The sequence below is a fragment of the Homo sapiens genome, chromosome 18 (genome assembly GCF_000001405.40).
Source record: "Homo sapiens chromosome 18, GRCh38.p14 Primary Assembly".
NCBI lineage: Eukaryota > Metazoa > Chordata > Mammalia > Primates > Hominidae > Homo > Homo sapiens.
In genome coordinates, this window is record NC_000018.10 from 80,017,191 (window position 1) to 80,030,952 (window position 13,762).

The 13,762-nt window shown below is 42.6% G+C and overlaps 1 protein-coding gene across 2 annotated transcripts in view; it reads right to left on the reverse strand.

Annotated features, from left to right (window-relative positions):
* TXNL4A (thioredoxin like 4A) overlaps positions 1–13,762 on the reverse strand; it is a 63,124-nt gene that overhangs the window by 46,378 nt on the left and 2,984 nt on the right. The window contains exon 2 of one of the 2 annotated variants that reach the window (NM_001305563.2): positions 13,331–13,387. The exons of the other annotated variant lie outside the window; for it this stretch is intronic. The gene's annotated coding sequence lies outside the window, so the exon portion shown is untranslated. The remainder of the gene's footprint in view (positions 1–13,330; positions 13,388–13,762) is intronic. 2 annotated transcript variants of the gene reach the window in all.

Here is a 13,762-nt window from a genome sequence, read left to right on the forward strand (position 1 = left end):
GTGATTTTTGTACATTGATTTTGTATCCTGAGACTTTGCCAAAGTTGCTTATCAGCTTAAGGAGATTTTGGGCTGAGACGATGGGGTTTTCTAGATATACAATCATGTCATCTGCAAACAGGGACAATTTGACTACCTCTTTTCCTAATTGAATACCCTTTATTTCCTTCTCCTGCCTAATTGCCCTGGCCAGAACTTCCAACACTATGTTGAATAGGAGTGGTGAGAGAGGGCATCCCTGTCTTGTGCCAATTTTCAAAGGGAATGCTTCCAGTTTTTGCCCATTCAGTATGATATTGGCTGTGGGTTTGTCATAGATAGCTCTTATTATTTTGAGATACGTCCCATCAATACCTAATTTATTGAGAGTTTTTAGCATGAAGTGTTGTTGAATTTTGTCAAAGGCCTTTTCTGCATGTATTGAGATAATCATGTGGTTTTTGTCTTTGGTTCTGTTTATATGCTGGATTACATTTATTGATTTGTGTATATTGAACCAGCCTTGCATCCCAGGGATGAAGCCCACTTGATCATGGTGGATAAGCTTTTTGATGTGCTGCTGGATTCGGTTTGCCAGTATTTTATTGAGGATTTTTACATCAATGTTCATCACGGATATTGGTCTAAAATTCTCTTTTTTGGTTGTGTCTCTGCCCAGCTTTGGTATCAGGATGATGCTGGCCTCATAAAATGAGTTAGGGAGGATTCCCTCTTTTTCTATTGATTGGAATAGTTTCAGAAGGAATGGTACCAGTTCCTCCTTGTACCTCTGGTAGAATTCGGCTGTGAATCCATCTGGTCCTGGACTCTTTTTGGTTGGTAAGCTATTGATTATTGCCACAATTTCAGATCCTGTTATTGGTCTATTCAGAGATTCAACTTCTTCCTGGTTTAGTCTTGGGAGAGTGTATGTGTCAAGGAATTTATCCATTATAACAAACTGTCTCTCAGACCACAGTGCAATCAAACTAGAACTCAGGATTAAGAAACTCACTCAAAACTGCTCAACTATGTGGAAACTGAACAGCCTGCTCCTGAATGACTACTGGGTACATAACGAAATGAAGGCAGAAATACACATGTTCTTTGAAACCAACGAGAACAAAGACACAACATACCAGAATCTCTGGGACACATTCAAAGCAGTGTGTAGAGGGAAATTTATAGCACTAAATGCCCACAAGAGAAAGCACGAAAGATCCAAAATTGACACGCTAACATCGCAATTAAAAGAACTAGAAAAGCAAGAGCAAACACATTCAAAAGCTAGCAGAAGGCAAGAAATAACTAAAATCAGAGCAGAACTGAAGGAAATAGAGACCAAAAAAACCCTTCAAAAAATTAATGAATCCAGGAGCTGGTTTTTTGAAAGGATCAACAAAATTGATAGACTGCTAGCAAGACTAATAAAGAAAAAAAGAGAGAAGAATCAAAAAGACGCAATAAAAATGATAAAGGGGATATCATCACCGATCCCACAGAAATACAAACTACCATCAGAGAATACTACAAACACCTCTACGCAAATAAACTAGAAAATCTAGAAGAAATGGATAAATTCCTTGAAACAAAATGCTTTTAACAGCACCCGTCACTTTTTGAATGCTTTGCTTAGAAATTTCTTCTGCCAGATACCCTAAATCATCTCTCTCGAGTTAAAAGTTCCACAGTTCTCTAGGGCAGGGGCAAAATGCCACCAGTATCTTTGCTAAAACAAAACAAGAGTCACCTTTGCTCCAGTTCCCAACAAATTCCTCATCTTCATCTGAAATTACCTCAGCTAGAATTTTATTGTCCATATCGCTATCAAAATGTTGGACAAAGCCATTCAACAAGCCTCTAGGAAGTTCCAAACTTTCCTACACTTTCCTGTCTTCTCTTGAGCCCTTCAAACTTTTCCAATCTCTGCCTGTTACCTAGTTCCAAAGTCACTTCTGCATTTTCGGATATCTTCTCAGCAACACCCGACTCTACTGGTACCAATGTACTGCATTAGTTTGTTTTCATGCTGCTGATAAAGACATACCTGAAACTAGGAACAAGAAAAGGTTTAATTGGACTTATTTCCAAATGGCTGGGGAGGTCTCAAAATCATGGTGGGAGGTGAAAGGCACTTCTTACATGGTGGCAGCAAGAGAAAATGAGGAAGAAGCAAAAGCAAAAACCCCTGATAAACCCATCAGGTCTCAAGAGAATTTATCATGAGAACAGCACAGGAAAGACTGGTTCCCATGATTCAAGTACCTCCCCCTGGGTCCCTCCCACAACACATGGGAATTCTGGGAGATAAAATTCAAGTTGAGATTTTGGTGGGGACACAGCCAAACCATATCAAGGACCATGTGTTATTTATTACCTGATAATAAGGTTGGCAAGGGGTGGCATTTCTGCCCAGGGATAGCTATTCCCATTGGGAATTCCACCTAGGAGGTCTGGCTAGATTAAAATTTTTCTATAGTCTCTCCCAGTTTGGTGTCACCCTTGTTCCTTCTTAGTCTCCAGATCTCTGTACTCTTAGCAATTATGAGCATACTTTTGGAATATTTAAAGGTTTCCCAAGTATGGTTCTTTTCCTCTGCTTTTAAAGCAGAAGAAGGCATTTGCTATCTTATTAACTTTACCTAGTCTAAAGGAGTAAGTCTTACCCTCAGGGTGTGTGTTTTTTTGCGTAGCGTTAAAAATGCTCCCATACCATGCTTTATTTATATCCATTTTTAATGGTTAAAGGTAAAGCCAGCAGAGGGAACCCCAAGATAGTGATATGGTTTGGCTGTGTCCCCACCCAAATCTCATCTTGAATTGTAACTCCCACAATTCCCTTGTGTTGTGGGAGGAACCCGGTGAAAGGTGATTGAATTGTGGGGGCGGGTCTTTCCTGCACTGTTCTCATGATAGTGAATGAGTCTCAGGAAATCTGATGGCTTTAAAAACGGGAGTTTGCCAGCACAGGCTCTCTCTTTGCCCACCACCATCCACGTAAGATGTGACTTCCTCCTCCTATTTCCTTGAGGTTTTTTTGGCTGCATAGATTTGCACCACCATTTGTTTACACTCCTGTTCAGGTTCTCCAGTTTCCTCTGGGAGGAAAGTGGCTGGGTTCAGGCCAGGACAGGTCTTTAACTGAACTGCAGGTTTTTCCAGCAGCAAAGCTTGATATTTGAGGAGGTGATTACCTGTTAGCCACAGACTTCCTTTAGAGGATAGCAGTGCTGCTACATTATGGGGTGTGTAAACAGTTAACTTATTCCTCATGGCTAACTCAACCATGCAACTGCAACTGCTCAGAGGCAAGCTGGCCATTTTTTAGCCACCAAGTTAAGCTTTTTGCTTAGGTAACCAAATGGCTGCTGGGGTGGACCTTGAGCCTAAGTTAAAACTCCCAAGGCTATTCCCTTTCTTTTTGAGACATAAAGATTAAACGCCTTCCCTATGGGAAGACTGAGCGTAGGTGCTTTAAGTCAGGCTTTAGCTGATTAAAGGCCTTCTGAGCCTCAGGTTTTTAAGTTAGGGAGTGAGTTTATAGCTGATTGAGTTTATTTTATAAGGCAGTATAAAGGGCAAGCCATTTTACTGTACCCAGGTATTTACAATTTACAAAAACCTGTAATGCCCAAAAATCCTCTTAGCTGTTTGAGTGTTCCAGGGAGGAGAAATGGGGAAATAGTCTTAATTATCTTCTCACCTAATGTTTTGGTTCTTTCTGACAAGACTAGACCAAGGTACCTCACTGAAGTTTGACAGAGCTGAGCATTAGATTTGGAAACTTTATATCCTCTACCTGCTAGAAAATAAAGAGCGTTAGTGCCTTCTTGAGAAACCCCCTCAGTTGGGGCACAGAGGATAATATTATATACATATTGTAAAACTTTAACCTGAGGATGAGAAAACTCAGAGAGATTTTTTGATAATGCTTGCCCAAACAGGTGGGCACTGTTTTGGACTCCCTGAGGCAGCACTGTACAGGTTAACTAGTTAGCCTGGTTGGAGGGATCTTTTTTTTTTTTGAGATGGAGTCTTGCTCTGTTGCCCAGGCTGGACTACAGTGCCATGATCTCAGCTCACTGCAAGCTCCACCTCCCAGGTTCATGCCATTCTCCTGCCTCAGCCTCCCGAGTAGCTGGGACTATGGGCACCCGCCACCATGCCTGGCTAATTTTTTGTATTTTTTAGTGGAGACGGGGTTTCACTGTGTTAGCCAGGATGGTCTTGATCTCCTGACCTCGTGATCTGCCCCCCTCGGCCTCCCAAAGTGCTGGGATTACAGGCATGAGCCACTGCCCCTGGCTGGTTGGAGGGACTTTCTTAAAGCAAACAAGTATTGGGAGTTAGGGTGCAATGGTATGCAGAAAAAGGCACTTGTTAGGTTTAAAACTGAATCATTTAGTTCCCTCAGGTATTTGAGTTAGCAAAGTATACGGATTAGGAACCACTGGATGGATTGGAACTATAGCTTTATTAACAAGATGGAGGTTCTGAACTAGCCTGCATTTCCCACTGGGTTTCTGTACCCCTAATATTGGGGTGTTGCAATGCTTGAGAAGGTTTTGTGCTTTTAATTTATTCATAATGGCTTTTAGGTTTTTGTTCTGTTTTTCAGCTTTTGGCTTTAGCGGGTACTGCTTTTGGTTACGGAAGAAGGTGGAATTTTTAAGGTGAATTTGGACCAGTATAACAGTTGTAGCCTGGCCAATTTTCCCGTGACTTGTCCACACCTCTGGGTTAACATTGGTTTTTAATAAGGGGAGGACAAAGAGTTTGTTCTGGAGCCATAAGGATGGTGGCTCCCATATGGGCTAGAATACCTTTTTTTTTTGCAATAGGGTTTGGCTTAGAAGTAGCATAGCATCTTTTAAGTTAGATTAAACACTTGGATTAAATTTTGGAAAGCCTCTATATATTTATTAGGGTTATTAGAGAACCTGCCCAGGTCCCCCTTTATTTGTTTAAGGTCCTGCAATGAGCAGGAAACTTGAGCCCTAGTAGCACCATTGGGCATTTCCTGCAGGGGCAACAGTGAAGTTGGGAATTTCTTGAGGGGCACTACCAGAGGAGCTAATGATCTGGCTATTGTGGGGCAGGTAGGACACCCGGAAGTTTTTTTCGAGGGTTCCCCAAGGGTTTTTTTCTTGACTCTGGGGAACCATCCTTTGCAGGCTTGCCTGACGTGGCTGCCAAAAGGGTGGGGTTAACTGTACAATGCTTACAAAGATTTAGGTTATCTTGCAAGGCAAAGAAAACCTGTACACTGGGAACCTTGGACTATTTGCCCTTTTGCCTACAGAAAAGTTTTAGTTGTTGAATAGTATAGAAATCAAGACTTTCCTCAGGCCAGGTTTGTTTGTTCCCAAGATGGTAATAAGGCCACGCCCTTGTGTAATAGAATATACGCCACTTTCTCTTTAGAGTCGTAGGGTTAAAGGAGTTCCAGTGATTTAGAATGCACTCAAGGGAAGTACAGAATGCAGATGGTTTGTTACCCATCTAGAGAGTGGGAGACAAGGTGTTCCTTAGTCCCCTTCCTTGCTTTGGCGTGACCAAGGGTGGAAGGAAAGAGAGAAAAGGTGTTGCCCTTTTGCCCTTCTCCTCTTTCCTTCTCTTCTCTGGGTCCTGGCAACCATTATAGGTGCCACCCCATGGATACAAGTGTGACCTTTACTCATGGATCCAGAGGAGGTAGTATGCAGGACTAGTCACACTTACCTGTGCAAGACCCTAGCTTTCCACCCTGTTGGATTCTTAGACCCACTCAGCCTAAAGGCTCCCAAGGTACCCAATAGGCCTGGGAGAGATTATGTAGTAGTTGGACTTGGGCAAGACTCTTTAATGGAGGGTGTTTTAATACCATATTTGGCTTCCCCTGCTATGGCCCCAGTGAAAAATTGGAATCCCACAGAATGGGACTGATTAACTTTCAAACACAAAATTCTTTTTTTTCTTTAAATCCCATTGTCATTGAATGCAGAACAGGTGCCTTAAAAGAACATAAGAATTGAATGGCTGCCCTTCCTTTGATGGGGACAGTATTGAAGCTAAGACCTGTTTTATTAGGATAGCTTCCTCCTGGCTGTTGAAAGTGGAGTTTTTTTGTTTACAAATAGGACATGTTGCCTGATCACTGATAGAGGGACATAAAAGGAAAAAGAATTAGGAAACTAGAAGTTTGGGGAAGAGGGCTGACAGGGCTTCCCATGGAGAAAAATCCTATTCCACTAGGTGGCGCCGTAGGGTTGCAAACGTTACGTAAAAACTCTGACTCCAAATTCTTTCCAGGCAAAAGTTAGAGAGGTTTGGGGTTTGATAGGATGTCCCCATAGCATGCCCCCCACCCCCATGCAACCAGCATAAGAAAATTAACTTGTCTTATAAAGGAACTGCTTAAATTTATTGAACAATGCTGAACTTTTATATGAAAGAAAAAAGAACCAAATGGAGAGGAGGATATTCACTGAGGGTGAAATATCCTCCCATATGTTACCATGAATATTTATTATTGAGGGATAGAAGGGACCTTACTAGGTAAAAATTTAGACTAAAATATTGAATTCCCTGCTTCTAGGAAGTTACAAAAACAATAACTTTTTGAATTACATTCCTGATTACTAAGACACTGACTAACTTTACCCAGCAAGATCTCAGTATTCTGTGCTTCTCAATATCCCACCCTTTCCCCTTTAAATTTGAAGCCCTCAAAGTCATCTCTGAAGAAAAGCATAGGCCTGTCTCCTGGGCACGTCCTTAACTTTGGCAAATAAATTTTCTAAAATGATTGAGATTTGTCTTGTCACTTTCTTCGATTGACATCCGGTAACCACGAAGGGATCCTGAGTGAAAGTAGCCTGGCCTGGGGCAGTTTGCCTTTCAGTGCTTGGTACTGGCTCGGGCACCTTGTAGCCCAAACCAACAGGACAATTTGCCGAAGTCTGGGACCTCTTCCTCCAGGGATCCCTGATCTTCCAATGTTTCTCAGCTGGGGGGGTCTGAGGTTTATTCACTGTTTAAAAAAAAAAAAACTCCCTTTTTGTGGGAGTTTTTCCACTGGCTTCCATCATGGAAGGTGAGTTTGTCTGTTTTTGCATTGGCAGAGAGCAGTCTCCAGCTTGGGCCCTATCACTAGGTAAGAAACTGGTTTGGAATTCTGTCTTGCAAATTCTTTAAATGACTAAAATTAGCACTAACAACCAGCTGGTGCTAACTTCCTGCTTACACTTGGAGTGCTTAGAAATCGTATATTTTGTGTGATCATTGTTAGTTTTGCTTAACTGTTTTTGTTGCTTGTCTCTGCTTTGTGTGTGTGTGTATGTGTATATGTTTCAGTCCTTTCCCCAATCAGATGTGACCAACTCTGAACCCTCTAGCTCATGACTGTGGAATCTTCCATGCTGGAGAAATAGAGCACCTTGCTTCCCTCAGCCTTCCGGGGCATTCTCAGGCAACTGAGAATCACCTGAGGGTGTCTGGGAGAAACGCTCCCTAAGACGTGCAGCAGCTCCAAATAGGTTTCCTCTTTCAGAAGAACATATTTAGGGTCTCATCTCAGCCGGCAGGTGCATATAAGGAACCGACCCGTCCTGCAACTTGAGCCCCTGACACACTTGTGCCAGGTAGCCGTGACACAGGTAGACCAAACCGGTTCAGGAGGTAACGGCCCTGAAAAGCCAGGTCTGCAAGCAGCACATTTTGGGTCCGACATATGTCCCGACTTCATCAAATCTGAAAAGGAGCTCTAAATTATGAGGAACAAGTCCTCTAAGACCCCAGCAGCTGCAGAACACAAAATTCCCCTTTAGAAACTCTGGCTGGCTATATGCAAAGTACTTATGGCAAATCACAAATCATCATGCAAATATTTAAACAAGTGGACCACTATAACTAAAGCAGATTCTAAGTTACAATGACCTAAATGGGGATCTTTTGAGATGCCCGAATTAGTGTACCTGAGAACCAGGATAAAAAATGCAGGCACAACAAATAAGCAACCAGAATGGGAGAGTTATTTTCAGTGGTACCTGGAGAGTAGCAAAAGGGGTGAAGACTGCCTCATCTCCCTATAGGAGGCAAACCAGCAACTTAGAAATGCTAATCAAGAACTCTCTAATCTTTTACGTCTCTTAAAGAAATCCTTGAAATCCCTTATTCCCACTTGGTAACTCCACCTACACTCCCACTGTACCCTGACCTCTCTGAACTTCCCCAGACCAGATCTGTCCCACTTTTCTCCTTCATGTTTAACACTCGCTCAACAAAAGGCAGGCAGGAATCGGACTTCAAAGACCCCAGCTGCTGCTGATTCCCCGACAGCCCCAATGGCAGCGTCTCATCTGGAAGATGTAGAAAAGGGGAATCCTATGGAGATTTCTCTTATGACCACCCCATTTTGGGAACAACTGGTAACAGGTAGCGGAGCCCCAGCGATTGTCTACCAACCTTGGTCAAAGGCTGAATTGTGAGTCATAGTTAAAGAATTTCCTGGCCCCCATAAAGATCCAATCAGGTTTGCCCAAGAATTTGAGCTCAGTATCAGAACCTATGACCCAGGTCATTCAGACCTTTATCAGCTGGTCCACATGTTGGTCTCAGAAGCTAAAGCTAAAGAACAGCTAGAAAAAGCACAATGGTCAGACCCTATAACAGATTTGACCCCTGAAGGCCCAGTAGAGCCACAACAACCAGCACCCCCCAAATCCAGAAGACAGGTGTAAAGATGCACAGGAGCAAGCAATGACTGTTAAATACTATTCCTCCAGTGCTCCAAAGGGCTGTGGATTGGAGAAAAATCCAGCAATGCTGCCAGAACCCAAATGCATTAGTTTTAGATTATTTCACACATCTTGATATAACTTTTAGACAATATTGTGAGATGACAGCTGATTGCTTTGAAAATAAAAATGATACATTATTAAAGGCAAATTTATTAAACGGACTAGATGATGATTTAGCCACACTTGTAAAATGCCACATGATAAACTGGGCCATAGCCAGAACTAATGAACTGGTTAACTTAGCTGACCGATTATCCCACGCTACGATAAAAAAGGAAAAACAGAAGATTGCTGGAGTTATGCATGTACAGCTAAAGCAATTAACTTCAAAACCTATCAGCCCCAGACAGGTTTTTAAGTTCTCTAGGTCTGAGAACCCTTCCCTCCCAGTCTGTTGCTGCTGTAAAAGTCCGGGACCCCTTAAAAGGGATTGCCTTAGGCTGAAATGAAAGAAAAGGCAGGAAAATGCAACTCAGGAAGACTAGGGGTGCTCCGAGAAAGTACAGGAGTTTCACGTCTCCAAATATTCTACCCTGACAAAAAAAACTGAGGGAGATTAATATAATAACCATGAGCTGACAACTGCCTTTATTGACACAGGCATGACTGTATCTCTGACAAATCCCAGCTTATTTAGAAACCCCATTCCTCGGAGTAATAAAAAAGTTAACATGGTGGGTATGTCTAATAAAACAATCTTACGTTTTAAGTACAAACCTTTACTTTCCCGTTTCATTGGGTTCAGCTCCCCCACCACAGACTCTAAGTGTGACGTGCTCAGCAGGTCCCACATGTCTCTTATATGCCTTGCGGCCCTTGTCAATCTTTTGGGCCATGATCTCCTCAACATCCATAATGCCGACATATCTTTTTCATCAAAAGGTGAACTTTTTTAAGAATTGGAACCAGAGGACCAAAAATACCAAATTAAAATAATGTCCTGACAATGTACCACAATTTAGTACCAGTAATGTTAAAACATAATCTTGTGACCAGGAAAATGAATTGGAGAGAGAGGAGGAAATATTAGGGGAGAAGAGAAGACATTGGAATAAAGAATAGGAAATGATAAAACTCCTCTTAGCTTCCCCAATTTTCCTGTTTACACCAGAAGCAGAACGCTTGCTCAAGGATGTCCGTTCCACTTACGGTCTCAGTCAAATACAGATATAGGGAAAATATTCTCAGCCATTCCCATAAAGGTAGAGATAAACCCTAAGAAACCCCTACTCAACCTTAAACAGTTTTGTCTCCGATATTGTAGAGGAAGCCATAGATGGAATCGCCCCTATCATAGAAGATTACCTGAAAAGGGGACTCACTATTCCCTGCACAAGCCCCTGCAACAGCCCCATATTCCCTGTAAAACAAAAACAAAAACAAAAAAACAAGCAGGAGGGGATGGAGATTTGTACAGGACTTGAGGGCAATAAATAATATCGCAATACCCAGACACCCAATAGTCCCAAACCACATATCCTATCAGCTACACCCACTATCAGCCAGTATTTCTCAGTTGCAGATCTCTGCAGTGCCTTCTTTAGTATTCCTGTAGATCCAGACAGCTGGTATTTGTTTACCTTTACTTGGAAAGAAGGGCAATATATGTGGACGGTAATGCCTCAAGGGTATACACAAAGTCCCACTTACTTTTCCCAAATATTAAAAGCTGATTTAGAGGATTTAATTTTTCCCCAGGGCTCAACACTCATTCAGTATGTAGGTGACCTTCTCCTTTGTTCAGGCACACTATCTTCCTCCCAGGAAGATGGTCTATATTTACTCAAACAGCCACCAAAGGACACAAAGTGTCCAAAGACAAACTTCAGCCATGCTTGCTGCAAGTTAAGCATTTGGAGGCATATTATCTCAGTCAAAGGACTGAGTATTAACCCTGACAGAGTGAGAGGAATTTTAGCTTTCCCAATGCCTGTGACTAATAAACAACTTAGAGGATTTTGGGTCCTGGCTGGCTATTGTAGAAACTGGATACCAAATTCTTCTTTATGACTCAAACTCTGTAGGCATACTTAAAAAATGAACAAACTGATCCCATCTTGTGGACTCTTGAGGGACAATCAGCTATACAACAAATAAAGGAAATTCTAACTAATGCCCCAGCCTTAGGGCACCCAAACTACAAACTGCCTTTCTCCCTTTTCACACACAAAACTGGAGGTACTGCATCCAGGGTACTGATCCAGAAACATGGTGATCATCAGAGGCCTATAGGCTATTTTAGCCAACACCTGGACCCGGTGGCTTGAGGGCTGCCTCCTTGTGTGAGAGCAGTAGCAACCATGGCCCTTCTGTACAAGTCTGTTGAAGAAATAAGTATGGGTTCCCCCCTTACCATTTCTGTGCCACATTCTCCTGAGACCCTTCTAAACTCTCATCATACTCAACGTGTGTCTGTCAACCGGTCAGCCTCTTATCAAATTTTGCTTGTACCATCTTCCAATATTACTACTTCCAGTATAATAATCTTAATCTGGCCACTCTCTTGTCAGGCCCTTCTGACAAGACCCCTCATGACTGTGTTCTGATGACTGACTGACTTCTCACCTCCAGGACAGACCTACAAGAGATGCCACTGGATCATGCTAAAATAGAATGGTATACAGATGGGTCTTATTTAAGAGGAGAGATGGAAATTTTGGAGCAGGATATGCTATAGTTTCCTTATCAGAGGTAATTAAAGCCGGTCCTCTTCTGGAAGCCAGATCATCTCAAGTGGCCGAGTTGATTGCCCTGACCCGTGGTTGTCAATTGGCAAAATACAAGGCTGCAAACATTTACACTGACAGCTGCTATGCTTCTAGGGTTTGCATGACTTTGGGATGCTATGGAAAGACGGAGGATATTTAGCCTCCTCAGGGCAACCCATAAAAAATGTACAACATGTATCAGAGCTGTTAGAAGCTATTCTAAAACCCAAATGTTTGGCAATTATAAAAATCCCAGTCACTCAAAATTAGACACCACAGAAAGGGTAACCAATTGGCTGATGCCACTGCTAAAAGAGCAGCACCCGAGCCACCAGCCCCAATCCAGGACCAAACGGCCATAAAACCCGAAACACTTAGAAACATGTTGAAAGAAACCCAGAGCAGAGCTCCTGCAAAAGAGAAATCTACCTGGAAACAGTCAGGGAGACACTTTTCTCCCGAAACTGAAATACAGTGTGGACCTAATAACCATTATTCCAGTGGGATGTCAGGTGCCCCTTATGGAATATGTCCATAATCTAACCCATTGTAACCCAGATAAAATGATATCCCAGCATAAACAATATTACTGGAAACCATCCTTCACAGTGGCACAAAATATTTACTCTTGATGTGTTATTTGTCCCTAATATAAAGGAAAGTCGCCCAGGGTCACTTTCCCCTTCCAGCTGGACCTTTTGAGGTATGGCAGCTTGATTTTATTCAGCTGCTATCATCTCAAGATTACAAGTATGTTTTACTAATGCTCTGCATGTTTTCTCATTGGGTTAAAGCTTTCCCTGCAGGCAAGCCACAGCCATGGCAGTTGGAAAAATCCTACTAGAAAAAATTATCCCACTGTGGTGAGTCCCAGGTGAACGTCACAGCGACAGGGGAACTCACTTTACTGGCCAGGTTATTCAAAATATTTGTAAAACTTGGCTCATATTTTCACATTTCCATTGTGCCTACCATCCCCAATCCTCAGGCCTAGTGGAGAGGCACAACTGGCTAAATTCACCTCCAGGCATTTCACCTCCCCTAGCCCAAAGCACTCCCCCTAGTGCTGCTTAAACTCCAATCCACCCCTTTTGGAAAACAACTGTGTCCTCAAGAAATAATAACAGAGGCCCATGTGTATGGGAACAAACATAATCAACCCAACTTTTCTCAAGGGAGATATATTGCAACATTGTGAGGGACTTATCGCCTTAAAAAAAAGCCAAGATTTGATAAAGAATTCCTTTCATAGTGTGCTCCATGAAGATAAGGTGCCTGGTCACAATCTGCAACCCAGAGATTTTGTCTATTGGAAAAGACATCTAATAAAGAATTCCCTTCAACCCCAATGGAAGGGCCCACACCAGGTACTATTGACTAATCTATGTCCCATAAAATTAGAAGGTGTAGACTCATGGATTCATCTCTCTCATCTTAAGGCACAACCTCCTGAGTGGATTGTAACTCCCACCAAAGACCTTTGCCTCCAGTTCACTAAACATTGACCTTCAACCCAGGATTAGAAGCAGACAACAGCTGTTGTGGACTGCTTAAACCCAAGACACAGGACCAGGCCTGTACACAAAGAAATGCCTATGTTTACTGCACAATAACCATTACAATTATTGTCCTAGATATACTGTCATCTGCTGTCTAATAAAGAACAGGGCACTTGCCTTGTCTGATTTAACACCCTTTAGTAACTAAGATGAATTTCACAACCTTGCTATTATTAATCATGTATCCCTTCACCTTCTTGCCACTGCCACCCACTGATGCCCATGAAACAAACCTGTTTCTACAATGGGCTCAGGATTATGCAGACAAATTACATAAGAACACCTGCTTGATATGCGGACTTACGCCTCTTTCCAGTGGCTCCAGCCTCCAGTGGTGGGTATCCTCCTTCCAAGGTCAGGACTGGATAGAATACCAAAAATTTATTACATCACAGAAACAGTTTGGTATCCTTCATGCTGGCATAACAAAAGACAATATATATAGTTGGCCCATTAAAAACACTCTTGGCCAGGCGCAGTGGCTCACGCCTGTAATCCTAGCACTTTAGGAGGCCGAGGTGGGTGGATCATTTGAGATCAGGAGTTTCAGACCAGGCCTGGTCAACATGGTGAAACCCTGTCTCTACTAAAAATGCAAAAATTAGCCAGGTGTGGTGGTGCATGCCTGTAATCCCAGCTACTTGGCAGGCTGAGGCAGGAGAATTGCTTGAACCCGGGAGTTGGAGGTTGCAGTGAGCTGAGAACACGCCACTGCACTCCAGCCTGGGCGATGGAG